This window comes from Homo sapiens, chromosome 6 (assembly GCF_000001405.40).
Source record: "Homo sapiens chromosome 6, GRCh38.p14 Primary Assembly".
NCBI lineage: Eukaryota > Metazoa > Chordata > Mammalia > Primates > Hominidae > Homo > Homo sapiens.
Window position 1 is genome coordinate 15,425,290 of NC_000006.12, and position 25,899 is coordinate 15,451,188.

The following is a 25,899-nucleotide window of genomic DNA, read 5'->3' on the forward strand; positions in this document are numbered from 1 at the left end:
AATTTGTAAATGAAAACGCATGCTAATAGTTTTCTCAGGTGCTGAGATGCAGCTACATATGATTGATTTAAGCCTGTTTTGAGCCACAGAAATCTGCATCCCAGGGAAAGTAGAGAAGTAAATAATTTTTGTTGCGGTGTACTGTGGTATGAATGTGCCCCCCAAATTTCATGTGTTAGAAACTTGTTCCCCAATGTAGAGGTGTTGGGGTCATGAGGGCTGCACCCTCTTGAGTGGATTAATACCTTTATCGTGGGAGTGGATTCATACCTTTATCATGGGAGTGGATTCCTTATAGAAGGACAAGATAGGCCCCCTTTTGTCTCTCTTGCCATATGTTGCCTTCTACTCTACTATGTTAGGTAATGGCATGAAGGCCATCACCATATGCCTGTCCATCAGTCTTTAAAATGGTGAGAAATAAATTTCTGTTCTTTATATGTTACGCAGTGTTAAGCATTCTGTAATAGAAGCCTCAAATGGACTAAGAGCGCAAGTGTGCTGCAAAAGAAAGATGCGTGAAGTTTGTGGAACACAAGCAGAGTGACTAGGGAAATTGCGGCAGCTTCAATATGGTCATGTGTGCACTTCATTTTCCCATATCTGGGAGATGTAATAAGAGCGAGAAAAGGAGGAGACCCTTTTAGTATTGTGCTTTTCTGGGTAAGTCAGTCCTCTTTGACGTCCTAATAGCATGATGTGAGCTGCCAGCTGTGGGTTTCTCAGCCAATCTAATGCAGGGAAACAGGCCTGTACCTGTTTCTGTGAACATGGTAGCTGGGTGCAGTGCAGTTATAGTAATAACATGATGAGCTTCTTGAGTACTGGGCAGTTTGCCTTGGGAGGGGACAGCAGCTACTTGAGACCTGCCACTCAGGAAGGGCCAGAGTTTTCGAGATTGTGACTCTTAATAATCCTCGAGTGGGGCCGAGGTTTGACAAGTGAAGGGTTCTTTGTGCTTCTTAACAGGCTGCTTCTAGAAGGCTTTGTGTGCTTCAGGGCATTCTCTTTACCGATGGACTTCACAAGCTGGCTGAGAGAGAAGGCAGGATTGAATTATAAACTTTTCTTTACCAAGATGGTGAGCTGGAGGCAAGATGGTTAGTTGATATTCAAAAGGACGCACGTGGATGTTGGGCAGGCTGCACATTGGACAGGCCCAGCTAGGCAGACTGGAAATGACCAAGAACCCAGGTAGTTTGTAGAATTAAATGAAATAACCTGTCTCCACACTATGTAGGAGGTTACTATGCTTAAGTGTTGGCTCCCAAATCAGTCTAAGCCAAGATGTGCTCAGAGGCACTGAATCAATATTTGTTGAATGGATGTGGACTGACAGCACTAGCTTCCTTCAGTTATAGTAGGGAGTGGAAGAGCTCCAAGAGGGTTTCCTGTCTTCACCTTAGTAAATGAAAAACAAACCCCAATCTTGCTTGCTTGCTGTTTTTCCAACCCCCAGAGGATGAGGTGACTTAAGCCTAATAGATTCTTGGATAATTACAAGGAGGTCAGGAGATTTTACCATTTGAAAGCCATCAGTGCCATTTTATGGTTTTGATCAAAAGGCTTATTTATAGTATACATTTACATTGTTTAAGTGTATGTGTTTGTTAAAGAATTACATAACTGGCCTGAGTAATGGGGGGTACATCAGCACCTTGATATATTTGGAGTAGCACTTTGCAGGAATGTAAAGGAGGGCTGTGTCTGGCAACCCTTTGTGGCTGTGTGCAATTTATTTTTAACCTTGCCATTTATGCTTATCTTCCTGAAATTGTGTTTTATGAGTTTGAAACCTGGGTCTTCTTTCTTTAACAAGTTCCTGTTCCTGCTAGACTTGGGTCTGTCTCTAGAGAGGTCTTATTAGATACTCAATTCTTCTGCATAAACCTGCACCACACTCTGTCCTAAGAGTTCAGAGCATGTGAGTTGTAGTGTGATGGAAGGAATCGCAAAGCCTGGACCTGCCGCAGAATATTTGCATCCTCTGCAGGTTTAGATGTTGGCGAACACTTGTTGGGACTTCATATTCACCCCCATTATTTGCTTCAGGCTCCTGGCAAACATACTAGCTTCTTCCGCATTTGTTTATTTTCTAGAAAACAAAAAAGGCTGGAACTTCATTTTTATTACTGCAGTGGCCATTTCCTTTTTCTGTTACCTCGGAGATCAGATTGCAGGGATATCACTTCCACCCCCCATGTAAATTATGGTCTAGTATGCTTTGTGGTTGCCATGGAAACTGCTGGATACAAGTTTCTTTCCTTCCTCCTCTAAGCTCTTGCTAGGCTTTTAAACAGTAACATTTTTGTCTCATCCCTTTGCCCTCCTTGCCTTTTCACACCCCCAAAGGACAAGTCTAAACACCACCCTGATCTTTTTCAGCAGTTTCTGACCCTCCTGGGAACATTTGATCAGTTCCTGAATCTTCCTTAGTGTGAATGTGTAGACACTGGTTCCTGGCATCTTACGTGAAAGGCACTAGATGCTGGAATTGTGAGGGCTTGGAGTCACCTGGTTTGTGAAGGAGGTGACAGCCATTAATGTCACTTGTGGTTCACATGTGAGTGCTTATATGGGGTTGTTAGACATACCTTTTTTTTTTTTAATGCAGAGTGCTGCTTGATGTTAATACCTCACTTGACTGCCTAGTGCAATTGCAAGTAGTGCACAGTGCTTTAACTAAGATGAGAATTGAATGTTTCTTCTTACTACTGTCGCCGTATACTTCCTGTTCCCTCACTGCCTCCCTCCTATTTTATTGTAAGATGGGAGTCTGGCGGGTGATGAAAGGCAGCAACCAAAGTGACTTGTTTTAGAAGAAAATTGGGTTCATTTCTGCTTTTGGAAATTTTAAGGAGGGGTTTTTATGGTAAGTGGGTTTTTTTCTACACAATAAGGTAAATATCATGCAAGAATATTTTTTCCTTTAGGCTCAATGGCTTTAATTTGCAATGATAGAATCTTCTTTTTTTGTTAGATATATATTTTTGTTATACTTTAAGTTCTAGGGTACATGTGCACAATGTGCAGGTTTGTTACGTAATGTATACATGTGCCATGTTGGTGTGCTGCACCCATTAACTCATCATTTAGCATTAGGTATGTCTCCTAATGCTATCCCTCCACCCTCCCGCCACCCCACAACAGGCCCTGGTGTGTGATGTTGCCCTTCCTGTGTCCAAGTGTTCTCATTGTTCAATTCCCACTTATGAGTGAGAACATGCCATATTTGGTTTTTTGTCCTTGCGGTAGTTTGCTGAGAATAATGGTTTCCAGCTTCATCCATGTCCCTACAAAGGACATGAACTCATGCAATGATAGAATCTTCTAGTGCCAGGCATGGTGGCTAATGCCTGTAATCCTAGCACTTTGAGAGGCCAAGACTGGCGAATCACCTGAGGTCAAGAGTTCGAGACCAGCCTGGCCAACATGGTGAAACCTTGTCTGTACTTAAAATACAAAAATTAGCTGGGCCTGGTGGCACACACGTGTAATCCCAGCTACCTGGGAAGCTGAGGCAGGAGAATCGCTGGAACCCGGGAGGTAGAGGCCGCAGTGAGTTGAGATAGCACCACTGCACTCCAACCTGGGGGACACAGCGAGACTCTGTCTCAAAAAAACAACAAAAAAAAAACAAACCCCCCCCCCAAAAAAAAAAAAAACTTCTAGAGTATAGTCCTCATTAATTGTCTTGATAGCTCCATCCTCATACTTAAAGCTATTCACAGAATTGGTTGAAAGCAACATCATCCATATGTGATTGTCTTGCCTGTGTTTGGGTGGGGCGAGGAATAGGTAGTCTTTGCTTTCTAGGCTATGTCCACTTGAGTAGGGATGGGTCCTTGTTTATCTTTGTATCCCCAATGGTGGCAGAGTATCTGCTGTGGAATAACAATTTGCATGTTTTTGAGTGTGTAAACAAATTCTAAGAGTAGCTAAACCAACTATTAGGAAAAGGAATCTTTTTCTTGTTCTTTTTTTTTTTTGAGGTAGTTGTGGTCTCACTCTGTCACCCAGGCTGGAATGCAATGGTGTCATCATAGGCTAACTACAACCTTGGATTCCTGGGCTCAAGCAGTCATCTCGCCTCAGCCTCCTGAGTATCTGGGACCACAGGCACATGCCACCATGCCTGGCATACATTTTCATATTTTGTAGAGGTTGGGTCTCAGTGTGTTGCCTGGGCTGGTTGCGAACTCCTGGTGGCCTCAATTGATCTTTGCACTTCAGCCTCCCAAAGTGCTGAGATTACAGACCTGAGCCACCGCACTCCACTGAAAAGGAAACATTTCTAAAGGGGTCATCACATTTCAGAGGCAAATACTCCTATTTAGAATTGTTCTGGTCTTTTGCACACTATCATCTTGGAGGGGGTGTATGCACACGTGTGTGTGTCTGAAGTAAAAACCCATTGGATTTGTTTTTTTGAAGTGTTAGGAAAGAACCGAGTACACGTTTTTGGTAGTGATACATACCGTTTTGTCTCCGGCCCTGCGAGAGAGAGAAATGTACACACACGTTTCTACATTCTTTTCCCTGGGTACAGAAACTCCACATCTGACCACAGGGAAGCCAAAATGTACCGTGTAAATTTTACTCCTTGGTACATCTGATTAGTAATAAGGAAGTGTGTATTTCTAGCCTCACAGCAGGCTTGTGAGTCCTCAGACGTCATTATAATATTGCTGAATTGCTAGCAGCCCTCTCTAATTAGTCATGCCAAGAGAAGGCAAAATTCCATCTTCTTGCATGAAGATTCTCTGGTTCTTCCCTTGGTGCCAACTTAGGGTTAACTCCAGCTTTCTGGACTCTTTCAAATATAAAAACATTTAACCTCTGCATCTATGTCCATGATAATAAAATAATGTCTTATAAGGATGCCATTAAATATATCTGACGTTCTTGCTAAGATTTTGTTTTTTCCTTAGGTACAAGATGTACTTTTGCTTCTTTATCTTCCTGGAGTTTAGTTATCAAGACAATTTCTGTGACATTAAAATACCATGTATGACCACTTTATAGAATATTTCAAGTATGTACAATTGACCTCAATGTTAATTCATTTCGTTTACTATATACAAAATGTGGGAAGAAGGAAAACATTTAAACAGAAAACAAGAACCATGCTTGATACTGAGTTATTTTCCTGCTGTTTATATGTGGTTGCCAATTATATGTTGAAATACATGAGGCCTTTTGAGATGTTGCTTCTCTTATATGAAATACTGTTCTGTTGAGTATATAACAGTATAATAGGCCAGGTGCTTTATTGAATTAAGTAAATTGTTTTCTAATATGATTTAAAAAGTGCACTAAGCAAGCATTGGGTCGGGTGTAGTGAGATGTCCATCTGTGAAGGGCTTATTGATAATCTGGTGATGAAATCGCTTTTGTCAGTGCCTACTTACCTGGGGGTTGTGGGACTTGTGGGGCATGCTTTCCAGTCCAAGCCCACTTAAGCTTCTGCTAACTCTTGGGGGAATGAATGGTCTGTAGGGGCTGCTTTGAGTAACTGCACATGATCCAGACCAGTCTTGGGGTACTTTATTATTCTGTCAACTTGGAACTGTGTAGGATGGGATTCTAGCAGTTTCTAAATATATGTTGTTTTCAGAGCCATTCTTTTTCTGGAACATAGTTACAAATTTGTTCAGCCTGTTACTCAGCCCCCAAGAAATATGTTTGCATTCACTGTGACAGCCTGTAGACTATTGGTACCGTGCAGGGCTGTAATCTGCTTGTTGTTCCGGCAAATACCATTGTGTAATGTGGACTGGCACTTGGCCTTTCTGGAGCTTGTAGTTTTTCCCCTTTGTAGGGAGTTGAACTGCCTTTGCCATAATTTCTCTCCTGATTATCATTTCTTATGCCTCCTGCAATTCAGCCTAATTGAACTGTGCTGGGATAAATAGAGCCCTTACAGATCATGTGAATGTGAGATCATCCCATTCCCTAAATGAGGAATCTATGGCTTAGATAGGACTGGGTGCTGTGAGTCTTCCTGATTAATGTTTTGAAATGATTTAGGAACCCAAATGCACGCTGATGTTTTCCATCAGCTGCGATCCGTATGTCTCATAAACGATGCCTTCCTGCTGTTTGGGTTTTGGGAATTGTTTGAGGCCAAGGAGAGGAGGGTATGGCTCCTTCAGCTTTACCCTTCTGAAGGTCATGAGGAATAATTCTGACAAACACCTTGAAGACAGTGACGGCTTGTGCCTTCTGTGTTGCTGTTACCACTGCCTCCACTACTTTTAGTGTAAACAAGCTCTTTACATATTATTCACATTTCTTGGTTCAAGCCTCAGAAGACCAGGATATAATTTTAAATTGCAATTAGTTAATTGAAATTAAGTTTCTAAAGAAAGTGTTGAAGACTCTTATCTTTTTCCCTTTCAATGAAGCAATTTAAGCACTGTAAGAAATTTACAGATGGCAGTTTGGATAATGACCCCATAGATTTTTTTCCAGAGAGGTTCTGTCTCCAGTGTTGTCCCTTTATTCAGGGACATTGAATCAGAGCTGTGAAGCAGTCTGTTTTGTGGTTTCTGTTGAAATCCTCTTAAGCCAAGTCACTAAAGGTATGCCACTGGAAAGGACTCTTATCTCTTGTGAAATAAATCCAGTAGGAAGCCTGTTCTCAGGAATGCCTGGTTAGGTACACAGGCTCACTGTGCTCAGTAGTGCTCCTGCACTTTTGCTAAGCCACTGAGACCCACAGTTCAGCTGGTACCAGTGTGTTACCGGTGGAGGGTGTCCAGGTTCTTGGCGTTTTGAACAAAGAATTGGACAAAACACACAAAGCAATGAAAAAAAAAAAACACAGATTTATTGAAACGAAAGTACACTCTACAGGCCGGGTGTGGTGGCTCCCGTTTGCAATCCCAGCACTTTGGGAGGCTAAGGCGGGTGGATCTCTTGAGGTCAGGGATTCAAGACCAGCTTGGCCAACATGGTGAAACCCTGTCTCTACTAAAAATACAAAATTAGTCAGGCATGGTGGCTCACGCCTATAATCCCAGCTACTCGGTAGGCTGAGGCTGAGGCATCACTTCAACTTAAGAGGCAGAGGTGGCAGTGAGCTGAGATTGCGCCACTGCACCTCAGCCTGGGCAGACTTGGGACTCTGTCATCCTCCAGCTACTCTCACCTTCAAAAACAACAACAACAACAACAACAACAACAACAAGAAAAGTACGCTCCACAGACTGGGAGTGGGCTCGAAGCCAGTGTCTCAGTAGCACTGGTTGCAGAATTTTCTGGGGTTCAAATACCCTCTAGAGGTTTCCCATTGGTTACTTGGTGTATGCCCCATGTGAATGAAGAGGATGAAGTGAAGTTTCCTGCCATAGCTGGAAAGTTTGGAATGTTACAAAGTTATTTACTTGGGCTAGAAGGTTGGCAGTTTTTCCGTTTGATTTAGTTCTAGGAAGTCCTTAGGCTCCTTCCCTCCAGACCCTGTTCTCCTGCTGCAGAAGCACAGGTTTTTGAATAAAGTTAGATGTTTGGTTTGTATCTAAGCTGTTAAAAGCTACTTAAAAGTGTCTGAGCCTCTCTGTTTCCTTGTCTGATAAATGCAACCATTACACCTTATAGCATTGGCTATAACCCAGTATTTCTCACATGTAAGCGTGCATCAGAATCATCTGGAGGACTGGTTAAAACACAGACTGGCTAGGTCCTGCCCTGAGGGTTTTTGATTCAGTTAAGTCTGAGGTGGTGCCTGAGAATTTGCATTTCTAGTATGCTCCCAAGTGATTCTTTTGTTGCTGGTTGAAGAATCACACTTTGATAAGCACCACTCCGAGGGCTCTATGTGATTTAAAGCACGTATTATATTATTACCCTTAAATAATAAGCACCCATTCTATATATAGTTGCTGGGTAAGTGAACAGTGATTATGTCTGTGGTTAAGAATTTTTAGGGCCAGGTAGCCCCATTTCCTTATAGGGACCTTTTCCTTTGTGTGTCCCCAAATGTTTCCTTCCTCAGCTTGTTCATCTGCCTTGTGCAGAGAAAGAAAAGTAATAATGTCTTTCCTTCCCTTGCGGTTTATTTGAAATTATTTATAGTCTAGTTGTTGGCTGCATGCCTCCTCCCCAACCCCCATGTCTCTCTGTGTGTGTGTGTGTGTGTGTGTGTGTGTGTGTGTGTGTGTATAATTTCAGTTTAGGCAGTCGCTTAGGTGGCGTGCATCCTACCTAAGGGCATGTCATCCAAGTGAAAGTCTTTTCCTGATGTAAGCAACTTATTAGAGCAAACAATGTGATTTAATCTTGGATTTCCTTTGTATTAGGCGGTCATATGCTGGCTTTAATTTTATATTCATAAGATGATTCCCAGCTTCCTGTGGGTTGCAATACATGGTGCTTCCCTTGGCCAGGTCGATGCACCCACTACTGCCCACCCACATCAATTGCATCATACAGGACTGGGGATGTTTTTCTCCATTCTTTTGGGGATATGGGGGGAAAATTTGACAGTGCTTTCTCCCTGATAGTTCTTTTCTCTTATAATTAGCATTAATGGATGATACTGTGGCTGACAATAATGCAATATCCATCATACCCCTGTTTTTTAAATTCTTTTAGGCCCTAAGAGTTTTTCCAGTAGCCCTCACTCTCCAGGGTGTGTGTGTGTGTGTGTGTGTGTGTGTGTGTGTGTGTGTGTGTGTGTGTCAGGAGTAGAATAGGGTTGAGAATATGTATGTGCCAGTGTACTTTACTTTCCCTGGTTTCACATGTTTCAGCTTGGCATGAGACAGTTTATACCCAGTGGGGGAATCTGCCCGTAAAACACAGGTACCTCCGTAAGTCTGTCTCCACCCTTCACTGTGTTCCTAACAGTTTTTTTTTTTATTTTTATTTTTTAAACGAAGTTTTGTTGTAGATCAGAGAATGAGAGATGACATTAAATAATACTGTAGCTGTCCCTTGATGCACAGAATTCATGCTTCTGTGATGGACAATTCCATATACTCCTCAATCAGTGACTTATCTTTTAAAATGGAATTTGTTGTATTTTTAGCCTGTGGGGTTGTTTAGGGTGGTGGTATCTTTCAGAGAGTGTTGCACATAGATAGATTACGAGGAGCCAGTTCCCTAGAGGAGCTGATGGGGAGAGAGATTTTCAGAAAATTCTTAGAAGGGCAAATAGGGTCAGCTGTCATCTTTGTTTATTTTAACCACTGTGAAATGTGGAAGAGAATGCATTGGTTTTTCATTGTCATGACAACAGAGGCTCTTCACACCCCTGGGCACAACAGGAAATGAACCCATTCATTTATCCAAGTGTGAGTCTCAGAATCCCATTATGTGAATTCCATGGAGTGTTAATTCAAGTATTTTGATAGAATGTTATTGTGTATTCTCCAGCAGTATTTAATAGTTGCCTAATCCTACTCAAGTCACTAAATACCCTTCTTGATCTGCTGTTTCCTCATCTATCAGAAGGAGATAAGATTTTCATCTATAGGACAGTGTTTCTCAGCTTTCCGTATCTTGGGCCTTAACCTCTGCTGGAAGAGGACTTTGAAGTTTTGCAGTCTATATAACTCATGAAATTTTTGCTTTCTACTTCTCAAGTAGGTTTGGGTTTCCTTCAATAGAAAAATGGTTTGTTACTGCCAAGTGAGAGCCTTAATTCTGGCTAGTTTATTTTTGATTTCTAGAAGCTCTGTTTGGTTCTTTTCAAATGTTAGGTTACACTCAAATGTTAGTTTCAATGTTTGTTCAGTGGTAGTTTCAGTGTTCACTGTTTCAGGTGTTAGTTTCCTGTTTTTCAAACTTGGCTTTTATTTGTTTTAACATAGTCTGATGATTCAAATTACTGACTGACATTTTCCCAGTTGGACATCTGCTGGGTTTTCCTCATGGTGCTTTATTTCCCCTGAATGTGAAAAGTTGTTTGAGGGGGAATTCATTGAGGCCTGAGATGAAAAAACTCTTCTTACAGAGGGTTCATGTATGTTTTTGCTACATACCTTAGGGTATCATCAGTCCAACATTATTTAAACTAAATTCAGGGCTTGAGAGATGATTTTTATATTCCAAATCCTCGTGAGGGCCGCTTAAGTTTTACAACTTCTCAGGAAAGATATCCAGCCTTTGGGAATCCTAGCTGAATGTAAGAAAGTTGTCTCCTGTTAGAGCCCCATTTTAGGGCTTGGAGGGTGGTAGGATGCCACCTTCCTCCCAGTGCCAGTGCTAGGGAAATCAAGTTCAGGTTTGTTTGTGTCAGAAGCACAAAAGTGGGGTCATTTCTCCTTGGGTAGGTCTGGGTTCTAGCTTTTGTTCTTAGAATTTCCATCAGTAATTTCTTGTTTGTTTATTACCTCATTGATGGCTTTAATGACTTGCTTGAATATCTTGGCCTGCTGTATTCCTGGAAATGACTCATGATGCCATGCTTTGCTACATTTTATTTTTTTAATTTTAAATAAATACATTTTACTAATTTGAAATCGAGTAGATTAATAGTATAAGCTGTTTGGCACATTGGAGTTTCAGTGCCTTGAGGATGAATTCCAAATTTTTTTTTTTTTTAAACTTTGAACTTCAGGAGTACAGAGCAAACCAATCCCAAAGCTAGCAGAAAACACAGAAAAGCTTTGCTGCATTTTATGGTTTCTATTGAAATGGGGAAGGTTTTCTTGTCCCCCTCTCAGGGCGTGCGATGGAGGAGTGGCTCACTTCTTCAGTGCCCCGCTGCTCATACCTCTAGGGGAGCATACAGACGGGCAGGTTGTAGGGCTGCAACCCCACAGCAGTCTCTAGGGGTGAATGTTTACAGCTGAAGTCCCAGTGTGCATGTGTTACAGGGTGCTCCTTTAGTTTGCTGTCTATAGGCGGCTTGTGTTAGCTCAATTAGACTCCCTTCCTTGAGGACAGAGGGATTTCTGTAACCCATGATCCTACCCTTGGTGTATCAGAAGAATCGGATCACACGTGGGCTTGGAGAATGATCGCAAGGTTTTATTGCATAGAAGTACCTCTCAGCAGATGGGAGAGCCAGAAGGGAGATGGTTTTCCCCTGGAGGCGGGCTGCACGCTGGTCGATGGCTTACTGGCCTGCCAGTGCTCTTCTGCGGCCGTGCTCTCCACAACCAGCCGCTTGTGTCGTCTTCCGCTGATGTGTTCCTCAGGACGTCCAGCAGCTTGTGTCTATGTCTTGCTAGGGTCTTGGGTTTTTATAGGTTTTCATAGGCCCAGGATGGGGGCGTGGCAGATCAGGGTGGTCTTGGAAAATGCAACATTTGGGCAAGAAGGCAGAAGTGCCTTCCTCACTTAGGTCTTGGGAGTAGAGCCCTAGCCAGGGGCCACGCCCTTCCTCTACCCAGCTTTTCCCTCCCCACCTTCCCTATCATTTAAAGGGACCATGCTCTTCTATTCCCAGCACTCCTGTATCACTTGTTGCCTACCACCTGCGATGCCCTGTTTGAGAAGCATGATTAGAAAAATCCCAGCAATCTTTTCTGTTTCTAGTGGTGTGGACTCCTGCTTGGAAGGCTTTTCTTGTGATTTTTTTTTTCCCCCATAATGTTTATATTCTGTGTTTTCCTATTCAGTTATAATGAGTTCAGTTCAGGGGAGAATGAGGTTCAAGTGGACTGTGCTTCCCTGAGAGAGCAATTGAGTGCTCTCCTGGTCACATAGGTCTTGCACTTCTGGAGCTCTAAATGGAACCCTCCCAGCATATCCAGGTCCTTCTTAGAGCCCGACTGCAGGCCACCCTGTCCTTCAGCCGTGTGATTTTACGGTTTTACTGTTCAGCTTCAGCATAGATTCTACCTGGAAGCACAGGGGTGTGTGGTCATCTTTTCTTCCTGGAAAGGTCCCTTTTGGTGAATGATTGAGTTCCCAAGCCAATTTCTGTCCCAGAGGGAGGTTGTTTCAGGGACTGGTTGGGAATGGCAGTCTCCACTGACTCCATGGTGTAGTCTAGGTCATACTTTATGTTGTGAGGCTGTGACTGGATTATGTCGCACTTCATGAAACCTAAGGCTTCCTGTTCAGACCTGAAAGGCAGAAACTGTGTCTCCTTCATTATCCATTCCCTAAGGTCTGTCCCCTTTTATGTCCAGCTGAATCACACCATGAACCCTTGGCCTCAGCTCCTTATGCACTGTCCTTTACGCTTACATTGTGGAAGTCCTCCCTTAACCTAGTTAGTTACTAGGGTTGTCTATCTGCAGTGCTAGTTTGTGTAACATTCTCTGCTTTTAAAGTTGTATGACATAAAAAAATAGAAGAAACGTATTTTAAAAAGAGGAACTTTTTCTCTACCCTCTTAAGTTCAGTTTTGGGGAGCCTGCTAATTAAATGGATGAAAGACAGATTAGCAACAGGGAAAAAAAAAACAGATTTAGTTGAGTTCACAAAGAAATGTGACTCTAAGAGGAGGTTAGAATTTACCATCCTAGAATCGCTTGAACCCGGGAGGCGGAGGTTGCAGTGAGCTGAGATCACGCCACTGGACTCCAGCCTGGCAACAGAGTGAGACTCTGTCTCAAAAAAAAAAAGAAAGAATTTACCATCCTAATGGGATGTGGGGGGCAAAAGGGCGATTCTGGGAGGACAAATAAATTCTTAGAAGAGGGTGGAGAAAGGCCACTTAAGAAGAACAAGTGAATTTTTGGAAAGGTAAGTGGGCCCTTAGCAGAATAGATAGAAGATAGAATATTTTTGTCAGTGTCTGTTAGTATTGTTTTCCAAACCCACACAGGTTTAATGTCTTGGGGCCTGTTCTGGGTATGAAGTTACTATGGCTGCTTTTTGATGGTATTTTGGAAATGGGTTGTGGGGTGGTGGGATGGGGAGGAAACTTGAAGTATCCAGCTGGAAATGTTCTCATTTACAAATTGCTGGAGGAGAAGCCTCAGCAACCCTTCCCAGGACTGATATATGGCTGGGAGTGTGGAGTTTGGCAGTGGATTGACACAGTTAAAGATGGATGCCTCTTTGATCAAAGGGAGACCATTAGGGCATGTTGAGGCTGGCGGAATCGGAAAGTTGCATTATAAAGAGGGTAGTTATGCATCCCCCCTCCCAGTGCCTGTCACCCACATCTTTATGAACATGATTCTGCATTTGCCCAGTTGGCTGGCATAACATTCTGCTGAAGTCAGCAGTGAGGGAGATGTACGTACGTAGCTTTTTTCATCTGTGAATTGCAGAGCGTAGAAGGATGTAGTTCATTTCCATGATTCCTCTGCACGTCATTGTTTCTGACCAATGTGGACAAAATGTGAGTATTTTTCTGACAATTCCAACTTCTTTGTTATTGTGGTTCCTCCTGGCAGCCCCCGCTTTAAAGATCCTTTAGGCAAATGTTATCCTTTCTCTTCAATGGTGGCTTGCCTTCCTGTGGTGGGGGCAGCATAGCTTGAAAAGAGCTAGGAAGCAGTTTCCCTCCACAGTATCCTTCTATCTGCTCCATTGAAATCCCTTACTGTGGCCATGCTCGGTGGCTCACACCTGTAATCCCAGCACTTTGGGAGGCCAAAGCAGGCGGATTGCCTGAGGTCAGGAGTAAGAGACCACCAGCCTGGGTAACATGGTGAAACCCTGCCTCTAGTAAAAATAGAAAAATTAGCCAGGCATGGTGTTGGGTACCTGTAATTCCAGCTACTCAGGAGGCTGAGGCAAGAGAATCGCTTCAACCCGGAAGGGGGAGGTTTTAGTGAGCTGAGATCACGCCACTGCACTCCAGCCTGGGTGACAGAGCAAGACTCTGTCTCAAAAAAAAAAAAAAAAAGGTGTGGGGGGTGCTTTTTCTGGTTCAGGCAGTGGAACAGGGGAGAATGAGGCAAACCCAGCTACAGTGCCTCTCATAGGAAGCATCACAACCATTAATTACTCCTGGTGCAAGAGGACTCAGTGAAGCTAGGTTTGAGGTTGGGGTAAAAGATAAGATTTTGGACATTGCTCATTTAAGAAGTTTTTAGCTGAAAAATCTTATCATTGGCTGCTTTCATTGTTGGAGGTTTATAAGCCTGTTGCATGGATCTCTATCCTCCTCCTGTACTTGCACCCCTGCTGTTATGTTTTATTAGGATGTCGTGCAATTTATTCTCCCGTTTCTTTCACTCCTGGTTATACTTTTGATCACCCTTCCCTCTGTTTTGTAATGCCATCCAGAAAAAATGAACAGATAGTGAGGCTTTGTGAGGAACCTACGATGGATATGTGGCTGCAGCCTTCTTTGGAGGGTTTAAGCTGCACTGAAGGAGGCTGACCTTGTGGCTTTATCATTTCCTGTCTACAGACAAGGAAAATGGGCTTAAGCAGGAGGGATTAATGAAGGACTTAATTGAACAGGAAGTCTTTGTCTTTTAGCCCTTCAGAATTACACACAGCTTGGGTGTTTTTATCTTGAGTCCTGTTTAAGAGATTGGACTTCTTTTCTCAGGATGTTTCCGGAAACTGAGTGGGGATCAGAAATTGTCATGGAGTTAAAATGCTAAAGAAGAGGGGTAACAAGCCAGCTTCATTGGATGAGGAGAAGGGCTTGTTTTGATTTCCTCATTCTTCCCAGTCTCACCCCTGGGAGTTTCTGCTACTGGCTTGGCTCAAAGCCTTAAAAACCCATAGAGTACTTTTATAATGTCACAGCAAATGCAAGCATGTTGTCTCTGGAAAGGAACTCTGAGGCACATGTGTTAAACCAGCAATGCTGTACCTTTAGCAGAGTGTTGTTGGTTCCGTGCCTGAAACACAGATAACATACTTGACATCAAGACCCCTTGTGAATCAGAGAGAATGACTTTACCTTCTTGGAAACGTTTTGACTTGAGATGTAGTCAGAAGATATTCTCGTCCGACCCTTTGAGGGTTCATTTAAGCCGTACGCAATTAGATGAACATGTATGTCCTGCAGATACTCACTGCTCATCTGTTGTCCACTGCCGCTGTCTACATATGTGACCTCTTTCAATTTAGTGCACATTCTTGACATCAGGTGGATTCACAGCTTGCAACAGCGGACTGGTCCTTGGCTGATAAAAACTGGGAGGACTTTCATGTTGTACTGAGGCGAGGTGTCTGAGGTCATGGAATGGTTATTAAGATTGTAATCGAGGTAGAATATTGTGAGTTGGAAGGTTTGGGCTGACCCCTTTGCATCCTGCCTCCCAGCCCCTCAGGTCCCTCCCTTTGGTTTGATTCAGTGATGCCATTTGGTTTCTGTTTTGTGGCCTGAAATATGGTACCATGTGCAGTGTTGAATGTTGGGAAAAATTTAAGGCTGCTTAAGGGATATTCTGGGTATTGTTAGAAAGGAAGTTGATTTGCTCACCTTGCCCTGTTGCCCACTTTCCATTGGCACAGTTTCTTTGGGTTGTATTTAAATTTTTATTCCACTAATGTGTCTTCTAGAACTGTTACTACAGCCAGTGACATAGATGCTCAGACACTGTGTCTGTAATAGCTCCGGTTTTTAAGTGGGAGAATGTGCCGTTGTTTCAGCATCAGAGAGCTCAAACAGTCAGAAGGTGGAGGAGAATTAGTTTTCCTAAAGTTCATTAGCTATTAGCAGATTTTTTAAATTATGATTGTGTTTCCTTATCTTAGGCATTTTTAACAAATGTTGTCAGAGACAATGTGTCAGTTATAGTGAATCCTTTTCTTACAGAGCAGACTTCACTCCGCATTTTTGTTGGTGATAGTTTAAGTAATGCCCCATACTTTGAAAATCACAAATGATTAAGGTCCAGGCAACTAAATAAATTTCTGTCAGAGCCCCAAAATGTGGGTTTTCTGATACTTATCAAAAAAGGCTAGATGTTGTGGGTTTTCTGATACTCAGAAAATGTGATAATCAGAAAATGTAGGTTTTCTGATACTCACCAAAAAAGGCTAGATGCTGTGTGTTTTATCTCTAGCCATGTTTCTTGGGATCTAAAATAGCTGGATTGTATATTCCTAGATGTTTTCCATACAAGAACTTTGGGGTGTAATGAGTTGGAGGGGTGAGATGGTATTACTAATAGCGTTGATAGACCTACTTTCTGTAAATAGTGGCTGGGTTCTTAACTGGCACCAGATTTTAGTGCAGGTCCTAAAAATTGGCTAATACTAGTGCTTGTCATAATTTAGCATTCCTTTTTTTCCCCTTAGGGGTGATCCCACAGCTGGAGTGTAAAGACTCGCTATTGCCATCTATTGGTGCATGCTGGCTACTTCATAAGATTTGCAGTGGGTGGGGAAATTGCCTGGGATCCCTTTTCTATTTGTTACCCTTTAAATGAAGAAAATTTCTGTTAGTGAACTTACTGCATGAGAGGGAGGACATGTAAGATGCCAGAGCCCACTCTGGTCCTTCTGGGACTTAGAGGACACTCTGAGTGCCGCCTTTGTGCTTTGGTCTGTCGTGTGCTGAATGGATGGTTAGGACCTCACCTACCGCACAACTCCATCTGGTATGATATTTCTGGTGGGAAGTTTCTGCAGCTATCTTAGAAGCATTCCACTGGATTTTCTTTATTTATTTATTTTTATTTTATTTTATTTTATTTTTGAGATGGAGTTTTGCTCTTGTTGCCCAGCCTGGAGTGCAATGGCACGGTCTCGGCTCACTGCAACCTCCACCTCCTGGGTTCAAGTGATTCTCCTGCCTCAGCCTCCTGAGTATCTGGGATTACAGGCGCCTGCTACCACGCCCAGCTAATTTTTATATTTTTAGTAGAGACCATGTTAGTCAGGCTGGTCTCAAACTCCTGACCTCAGGTGATCCCCCACGCCTGGCCTGGATTTTTATTTTTTAATAAGCTGTATAGCATTGTAGAATACAATTTCTTCTTATATTTCTCTTGCATTTTGAAAAAAAAAAAAGGAAGTAAAACAGGATTCTCGCCTCACAGGGTCATTCCCTTTGCCTTTCCAAACATGCCCATTGCCAGGAGAGTTCTGGCAATTTGCAGTTGGGTGTTGAGTAATCTAAAATTGAGAGACTGCTAGGGTTTTTGTTGAAATGATATTTTAAAAACTAAATAGGGAATCCCATCGAGAGATAGTAGAAAGGCAAATTAACATTTTAACTCGCTCTTCTAGGCTTTTAAAACTGAATGTACTTAGATAATTTGTTCACTCCTTGTAACTACAACAGCCTATTAGAAATTATTTTGGCCAGATCCTGGCTGGATTCTGTAGCTACTTGCATGTGTTACTCTGACTCTTACTGTCTTTATGTAGTCCCTTCTGCCTTAAGATCTATCTGCTTTTTGCTTGAGACTGTCCTGAGACCAGCAGTCTTTGACGAGAAGAGTATTTGTGGCTCTTCCCTCCTGGGCTTGGAGTTGTATCCCTCATAACAACGGGGTTATGCCGTGTGGGGATGGCGGCGCAGACAGCCTTCCATAGGTGGTAAACTATAACTGTGTCATTTGTGACTGACAGAACAAAAGGGCTTTGTTGCCACTTTAATTGTTGATTAATGATGATCCCTCTCAAATTTGACACGGTTGCTTTCTAGAACACAAAAGAAGTCAATGTCAGATGTTTCCTTGATCATGACAGTCATGATTTTCAGGCAGTCTTGGTTCTCTGACATTTCAGGATGCCATAGAAGATTTCAAGAAACATAATTGAATAATTTTATTAATTGAATAAAAAACTGTACTGCATATTACTTTTCATACTGTTTGTGCAGGATGTCACCAGCTACCTGAGATTTATATGCACCAAGTCATGTTTTATTTGGGAAAAAGTTCATATCTTGTAGATATTTAGTGCTATTATCTTCGATTTTTTAATTTTTTTCCTCCTCTTTCCTACCCCCCTAATCCTTCCCTGGAATTAAAAAAAAAAAAGATTCACCTTTCTCTCTGATGCCTGTTTTCCACTTTAGTATTCCAAGGGAGTGAAGTGTCTGCGAGCAAGAATGGTGTCTTCCTGATGTGGTGGTGATGTTTGGATTTGCAAGGCTTGCCTTGTCCTTGGGCTGGCTTCTTCATGGATAGAGCTGATGAATATATTTTTAAGTAGTTATGTCAGCGTTCCTAAGGGTGACTCACAGTTCTGAAGTAAGTTAACGTGTTGCCTAAATGAGTTACTCCTCATTGGAAGGGCTAAGTGGAAGGAAATGCAGATTACAGATTGTATTGCTACTATTTAATCTTTAAGGGAGTAGGGGAGTGGATTTTTGGAATTGTGATATCTTTCTAAAATATATATGAATGAATTTTTCACCTTCCCCTCCACCTTCTAAAGTGCTAGGTGGTAGTACTAGCACTTTAAAAGTCAGTATATTTTGCTGTTTTACTGGCAGTTAGAAAGTTGGCGCTAGAAATCTTTAGCAATACTGACAGTTTGGAGATTTAGATTTTACTTCTCCAAAATAATCAGGACTTTTCATCTACTCTTACGAAATGATAGATCCAAAAGATTTATTACAGAAATTACTACATTCAGGTACCACTTGTTTTTTTAAGAGGAGGTCAAAGATCACAGAAGCTTGGAGCTAGAGAGAGCCTTAGCTTCCCTTTTTAAAATAGTCCTTAAAAAAACCACCTAAGAAAAAAAGACCCAGCTTGCCCTAGGTGACAAGTTAGGTGAACTAAACTCAGGTTTTGTGACACCACTACTCTTTTGCTTGTACCACTGACCAAGCAAAACATCATAATGTTTCATCTTGAGGGGAATTCAACTAACAAAAGATTTCTTTACGCAAATTCCGGCTATGGCAAATGTTTATTCTAAATAGCTTCCTATGTAACTTAATTAAGACAAGTGCTGCAAATATTTAATATCCTGCGGTTTTTTGCATAAACAAAGTGTTCCATCAGTTTATGTGTAAAGCAAGAAATGAGGCTGTGGACCACTAGGGCTCCATCTCCAGAAGTACCATAAAGCAGGCATTCTGCGTAGGATAACTCTGCTTACAGAGCCAGCTGACCTCCCGTTTTGTCATTGTGTGATGCCCTCCCATTCTGGTAAATCAAACCCTGACCGTTTAAAACTGTGGGAACTGGGTGGACCTTGCGCTTAGAAGGATATGGTCTATGCTAGTGCCTCTCATTACAGAGTTTGCTATGAATTGGTCTCTGCTAGCCTCTGGGTTCACTTGAGGATGTGTTTATTTTCTCTTTACTGTTCAGGATGTTTACAACCATTCTGTGTGGTTTGCTCGCAACCGCACTTGCATTTGAATTTGGTGGGCAGCTTGCCCTGGGTAGAGGGTATCCCTTGCCCGACCCCCCACAACCTCCAGTGCGCACACACACGGGCACACTCTTGTTTCTTTGAGTGGCTGCCAGGTTTGTAGTGTGTGTGTCTGGGGGGCGAATGGAGTGGGTAATTATTTTGGGGATGGAAACACAGGAAATTTTTTTTTTTTTTGAATAGGCCTTTCAGCAAGTTGGCAAAGCTTCAGGGCCAGCTCCCACACCGGCACAAAGAGCGCAGCCATGCCGGTCATTTTGCATTTGCCAGACACGAACTGTCTGATTTTTTTTTTTTTTTTTTTTTTGAATGAACAGACCCTCCCTCCCACCCTTTCCTTGCCCTTTGTTTAGAATTGGGATGTAATCTAAATAATTGGATTTACCAGCTTACGTTTTTAATATTGGAAAATTGAGTTAATAAAATGATGTTTTGGCATGTACTTCCCTCAGCAAGGGAACAGCTGTGCATTCACTTTAAGCCGCCTGGTCCCCCTTGCTCCTGCTTGATCCAGCTGATTTGTGTGTCACGCCATGCCCTTCTTGGGTTTGCAGGCTATCAGAAATCCTGGACAGAAATAGGATTTAATTAACCTGGAAATTGCTGTTGTGCCGCAGTCAGGGCTACCCTAGAGATTGAGTGCACAGATAGCAATAAGCTGGTTAACTCTACACTGTTGATGACCCCAGAGGAAACCTGGAGAAACAGTGCCACCCTTGTGTGAAGCTTCTAATGGCAGGATGCCCAGGAAGCTTCTAAATCAATCATTTGGGGAGGAAGGGGCACAGGGAGGGTATTACAAAAGAAAAAAGTATTTGGCATAGGACTGTTAGTTCATCCCTGGGGTTTCTTTACAAGCATGGTCTCGTGATTTATTGGTTAACTTTCCAAATAATGTTAGTGTGTATCTTGCTGTGCTCCTTCGTTCTCATAAAGGTGCTATATATTTTATTTTAACAACAAACAATGAAGATTGATTTTGGTAAATTTTTAAGCGGTGATACCTAACAGCAAGTGAGAGGTGGCTGTGGGAGGCTTAGCAGAAAAAGAAAGTCACCTTCCATGTAGCTTAGGGAGTGGATGGATGGGGAAAGGACAATAGGGATCTTTCCCCCTTCGAGCTCATGCAGCTTGATCAGGAAGTACAAATACTCTCTGATGTATGTGGTGGTCTTGTTGCATGAGGTGTGTCAGGAGCCGCCTCTTGGGCCCAGCGACTGTGGCCTGGGAACAGTTGTGCTGTGTGAGGCCATGTGGAATACAATGAAATGCCAAGGGTTAGAAAAGCGCCTTGTGCCACAGGGTGACTGTCAGCCGGAGGCAGACCTTATTTGGCTTCTGCGAGATGATGGTGAGAATGGGCAAGTGGCATGGTAAATTCTTAAGGGAGGGCCATGTAGGCTGGTGCCTAGTTGGTATTTTTTTGTTTTCGTTTTCAAATATCAGCCTCTATATTCAAGACACAGTTTTATTCTTAACGAAACTGAATTCCTGTCTACCTTCAGGTAGACTTCTGCTGGGATGGCTACTAACTTTACCTGGAGCACAACAATACCAAGGCTCCTCCTCTCCTGTTGCTATTGGATCTGTTTCACAAACATGCACCAATCTCCCTTTTCCTCTGAGTTGCCATTCAGTCTGCCCCTCTGCTCAGATACCATGTGTGTACTGTATTCTGTGATTCCTAAATCATGAGTGATGGGTTGTATAATTCTCAGCAACTATAGCAGTATAGTGTTCCTCCCCTCCTCCTTTCCAGCATCTATGGAGGCCTTGTCCTCTAGACTTGGTAAGGCCTGTATATAGAAGTGGACCAGAAAGAGGAGACTGCAGTAGAGAGTCTTGTGTATACCAACAGAAGGGCAGAGCAATGGCTTTGGGGTTAGGTGGCTGGTTATGCATGAGGTACTGCTTTAGGATGGTCACCTCTCTCCGAGGAGGTGACTTCTGTGCAGAGGCTTCTGTGCGGGAAGTGGCCTCTATTACAGAGTAACAGGCCTGGATTGTTTGCTTCTCTTATCTGGCCTAGAGGATGAGAAGCCGCCAGGCATGGCAAGAGAAAGAGTATTCCAGATGGAAGGAGCTGTTTGGAGTAAGCAAGATCCCCTTGGACCATTCCTGCAATCCCTACCTTTGTCTTAGGCCATTTGTTGCCACATAAAATACACTCTATGGGATCCCATACACTCCCATACACTCCCATATACTCTATGGGATCAAATCCGTAAATGGTCATTCATTTTAACACCTTTTATTTTGAGACAGCTTAAATGGTGTTCACTCAGCGGGGCTGATTTTGGTTATGAATGAGGGACCATGGAGCTCCTTGGCCTGGCAGGTTTTAGTGAGGGAGTGCACACCAGAAGGCTGTGCTCACAAGGCTTTGCCTAACCTGCCACGTGGAGGTGGCGTGGCATGACAGAGACAGCTCTCACATAGGGACCCATAGGTTCGTCTGCTGCTCCTATTTGTTTTGCCATCCAAGCTATGTGACCCAGGGTGGGTCTCACCCTTCTCCTAGTTACTCATGTGTACAGTGAAGGGGATCTTATTAAGATCCTTGAACATAACAAAGTGACCAGCCTTTCTTATTTCCCCAAACAGCAGCTCGTATCCGTCTTCTTCTGAACTTATTTGAACTTTGTAGTCTTTTAATTCACATACACGCCCCAGTGATGATCTGATCTGAAACATCTATTCCCTCACCCCCACTGCGCCAACCCTATGTTGTACCATATTGTAAATAAAATGTTATCCTCTGAATATATCAACATACTTCTTCCTCTGCTGGTTTACATTTACTTGATTTGATCTTTTCACCTTGGCTTGCTGGAGGGCTTGATTTAATTGGTTTCATTGACATAAAGGGTACATGTGGAGTTCCTGGAATGAAGGTGTCTTCTGTAAGGGATCTCCTTGAAGAATTAATAAAAAAAACACATGAAAGTAAATTACACCATGATTGCTACTTCCGTGGTGCGTGTGAAGGACACACACCTTCTCTGGGGCTGTGTTACCCAGGGCAGGAAGGCCCATCCTGACTACATGCAAGGCCCAAGGCTTGGGAGGGCACGTATTTTATTTTTCTCTCAAACATTTATGTTTTTACCTCTTCAACCCCAGGAACCCCGTGCTCTCTCCACCCCAACCCCACAGTGATTCTGAACCTCTTTTATCCCAGTTCTTTTCATTTTTGCTGTAATAATGGAATGGCAGGTAGTATTCTGTTGAAAATGCCAGTCAGCTGATGGCAGGGAGTGAGGAAATAAATGGTGTGGTGGGCGGGTATGCCGCCTCCCCTGGAGGGCTGAGGCCCCACAGGCTGGGTGCAGCCTCACCTTTCTCCTCGTGCTTGCCAGGTGACCTCCTCCTTTACCCCAGGCTTCTGCTGCTCCTGCCATTAGCATCTCTAGGTGCAAATATTGTGAGTTTTCAGCACATCCAAATCACTTTCTTCCATTTTCCTATATCCAGCATTCTAGAAGGAAACTCCTGTCCCTGAAGCCTGTCTGTACTGTTTAGAGGGCTTACTCAGGATTTGGCTGTGCCATTCAAGCTCTTTGGTTGTATGGGGCTCTTAATCCCCACGGGACTCTGCAGGTTGAAAAGCCACACTGCAGACCTACCCTTTTTAGACAATACAGGTTCTTCTGGCCTCTTTATAAAAGATATTGGTTTGTCTTGTTCTTTAGTTCCTGGTTTCATCTGGGTCTCACAAATGTTTAATCACTTGGGAGCTTGGCTTCTTCCTCTAAGGGGTAATTTATTTTACTGCCACTTTTTAATGTGTTATTGCCTTATTTTTCATAGCCTCACTGGGAAAGTCATTAGGCACCAAGCACCTTTTATTTGAGCATTGGTAGGAGCAGTTTATCTTTGAGGTCCTGAAATTGTAAAATATCTCACAGTGTCTCGCTCCGTTGTCTGTGCTTCGTCTGTGTTTACTTGTTTGTTTCTCATTGTCGCTGCACAATCTTCTCATCGTGTATAGGGTTTGTTTTCCCTGACTTCTAAAAAAGCTGTAAACCCTTAACATCCTGTTAACATGCAGGCAATATTTCTATAAAATTCCTGCAATACTCAGAGTGCGATTTGCGTCCATTCAAATGAAGATGTATATATTATGTAATTGCCAATTAAAAATACTTTTCAGTAGAATTAAAAACCAGCAATTTTTCTAAATATGGCACAACATTTCCTTTGTTTTAAAACAGTCTGGGAGGTTGGTGGGAAGGAAAGCCTCATGGGAAAAGCAGGGCAGTTGTGTTGGGTCAGTCTACCTGGCAGCTGGTTGGAATGTGGACCAAGGGTTCTGTAGCCTTCCCTCCTCTGACACTGTGTGCTCGAGACCTGGCCATCACCAGGTGCCTGTGAATTGATACAGAAATTGAGAGCCAGCCTTGAGAAACCTCTGCAGTTTGATGGAATGATTTTGTGTCTGTTGAGTCCCAATAAATTAGGCTTGTGTTTTGTCTTTTTAAATTGCTTTTTGCCCCCTTGTTCTATTTTTTTATGTAATTAAAAAAAAAAAGACATTTGTAACAGATGGAAAATTTAAAAGGGGAAAAACAACCAAGCAGAAAACTGCTCCTCATCTGTGATAGATGAAGCTCTGTGATTGTCGGAATATCCCCGTCACCCTAACTGCCCCCCACTTCATTGTCCCATGTGAAGATCCTGCCTCTGGGCTTCTGGTCTGTCATGACTTATATAGAGGCAGGCAGTTGGTTGCAAAAAAGCTCTCTTTGTTCCCCATGACATAGAGATAGTGGCATTGCCTGATCCCACCCTCCCCCTTATTTTTTAAAAAATAACACTAGGGAATTTCTGTTAAACTTGATTCACTTCCTGCTGTTGCCTTGTTAATGTGACTGTTTCATATCAGTTATTCCTGGGTTCTAAAGTGCTTTTTGGGACAGGCATCATGGCTCATGCATGTAATCCCAACACTTTGGGAGGCCAAGGCAGGAGATAGGCTTGAGGCCAGGAGTTCAAGACCAGCCTGGGCAACATGGGGAGACCCTGTCTTTATCAAAAAAAAAAACCCAGCAACAGCAACAAGCCAAAAACAGCTGGGTGTGGTGGCACATACCAGTAGTCCCAGCATTTAGCAAGGCTGAGGTGGGAAGATCTCCTGAGCCCAGGAATTTGAGGCTGTAGTGAGCTATGATAGCGTCACTGCACTCCAGCCTGGGTGCAGTGAGACCCAGTTTCAGTAAAAAGGTTAAAAATAAAAAAAAAAAGTGCTCTGAATGACCTACATTGTTTGTAGATTTTTTTTAAGGACTATAGATTACCCACTAAGTAGTTGGAGTCACACTTTGTCCGTTTTGGTGGATTGTCAGTTTGTATCAGGAATATTATTAGACGGTGGTGTTTTCGATGGTCATAGGGGAGACAAGAGTAGACACTGCTTAGGACATACAAGGGAATTTAAGGTTAAAATGAGATTGGAAATTCCTCATAACATTGTAGTACTTTATATTTCGGGAGTGTGGAGGATTTATGAGGTTAAATTTAAAGGTATTAGTTTTGATGAAGTAGGCAATCATTGTGTATTTTCTTGTAGGAATTTGTTAAATAGTATAATTTTTTTTTAAATGTTACAGCATTTTGAGCATCAACAGTTTAAGATAAATGCTTACTATTTTATATAATCCACTCCCAACCATGTCTTTAAGGGAATACATCTGCTCTCTTTTACTTACTTAGTTTTTTTTATTCGTTATTATTTTTGAGACGGAGTTTCGCTCTTGTTGCCCAGGCTGGAGTGCAGTGGCGTGATCTTGGCTCACTGCAATCTTCACCTCCCGGGTTCCAGCGATTCTCCTGCCTCAGCCTCCTGAGTAGCTGGGATTACAGGCACGTGTCACCACACCAGGCTAATTTTTGTATTTTTAGTAGAGACGGGGTTTCACCACCTTGGCCAGGCTGGTCTGGAACTCCTGACCTCAGATGATCCACCCACATCGGCCTCCCAAAGTGCTAGGATTACAGGGATGAACCACTGCGCCCGGCACTTATTTAGTTTTATTAGTTAATTGTCTTGAGTGGCATTGCATTATCCATCCTACGTAGTGTTTGGGATTCTGATGAGGTCTATTTCAATCCCTGTACTGTGTGGCTGTTTCTTGGTTCTTTTTGTTGTTGTTTTCCTGCCCTCAAAGAATGTTTTTCAAATACCTCTCTGAGCAGGTCTAGGTGAACAGTTTAAAGTAGGGCCCAGTTTCTCATCCTTGCAAGTGCTCACTATTGCGTGAGTGGAGACCTTTACGATTAGAGGAGGAGGGACTATTAGGCAATTGACGATACATATCAAGTTGATTGTATGTAAAGCAAAAATATGTTCGTGTATTTATTGGTGGAGAGAAAGGGAAATTTCTTATTGGCTACTGTGTTAAAAAAGAACAAACTGGGCTGGGTGTGGTGGCTCACGCCTGTAATCCCAACACTTTGGAAGGTCAAGACTGGGGAGGCTAAGGCGGGTGGATCACCTGAGGTCAGGAGTTCAAGACTAGCCTGGCCAACATAGTGAAACCTCACCTCTACAAAAAATACCAAAATTAGCTGGGCGTGGTGGTGCACGCCTGTAATCCCAGCTACTCAGGAGGCTGAGGTAGGAGAATCGCTTGAACCTGGGAGGTGGAGGTTGCAGTGAGCTGAGGTGGCAACACAGCAAGACTCCATCTCAAACAAACAAACAAAGAAACAAACAAAACACTGTTCCAAGATCTATTA

At 42.8% G+C, this 25,899-nt stretch overlaps 1 protein-coding gene across 20 annotated transcripts in view, besides 4 other annotated features; it reads left to right on the forward strand.

Moving 5' to 3' along the window:
• The window catches only part of JARID2 (jumonji and AT-rich interaction domain containing 2), a 275,974-nt gene that overhangs the window by 179,221 nt on the left and 70,854 nt on the right, over positions 1 to 25,899 (forward strand). The gene's annotated exons all lie outside the window — the stretch shown is intronic.
• Positions 7,657 to 7,706: a silencer, noted in NCBI's record as "silent region_16952". NCBI's record gives its function as "represses an Ori minimal core promoter by ATAC-STARR-seq in GM12878 lymphoblastoid cells {active_cell/tissue: GM12878}" and the evidence as "EXISTENCE:reporter gene assay evidence [ECO:0000049][PMID:35858748]".
• Positions 13,601 to 13,670: an enhancer, noted in NCBI's record as "active region_24082". NCBI's record gives its function as "activates an Ori minimal core promoter by ATAC-STARR-seq in GM12878 lymphoblastoid cells {active_cell/tissue: GM12878}" and the evidence as "EXISTENCE:reporter gene assay evidence [ECO:0000049][PMID:35858748]".
• Positions 19,235 to 19,735: an enhancer, noted in NCBI's record as "H3K4me1 hESC enhancer chr6:15444755-15445255 (GRCh37/hg19 assembly coordinates)". NCBI's record gives its function as "activates a minimal SCP1, AML or CMV promoter by ChIP-STARR-seq in naive H9 embryonic stem cells {active_cell/tissue: H9 hESC(naive)}" and the evidence as "EXISTENCE:reporter gene assay evidence [ECO:0000049][PMID:30033119]".
• Positions 22,479 to 22,979: an enhancer, noted in NCBI's record as "H3K4me1 hESC enhancer chr6:15447999-15448499 (GRCh37/hg19 assembly coordinates)". NCBI's record gives its function as "activates a minimal SCP1, AML or CMV promoter by ChIP-STARR-seq in primed H9 embryonic stem cells {active_cell/tissue: H9 hESC(primed)}" and the evidence as "EXISTENCE:reporter gene assay evidence [ECO:0000049][PMID:30033119]".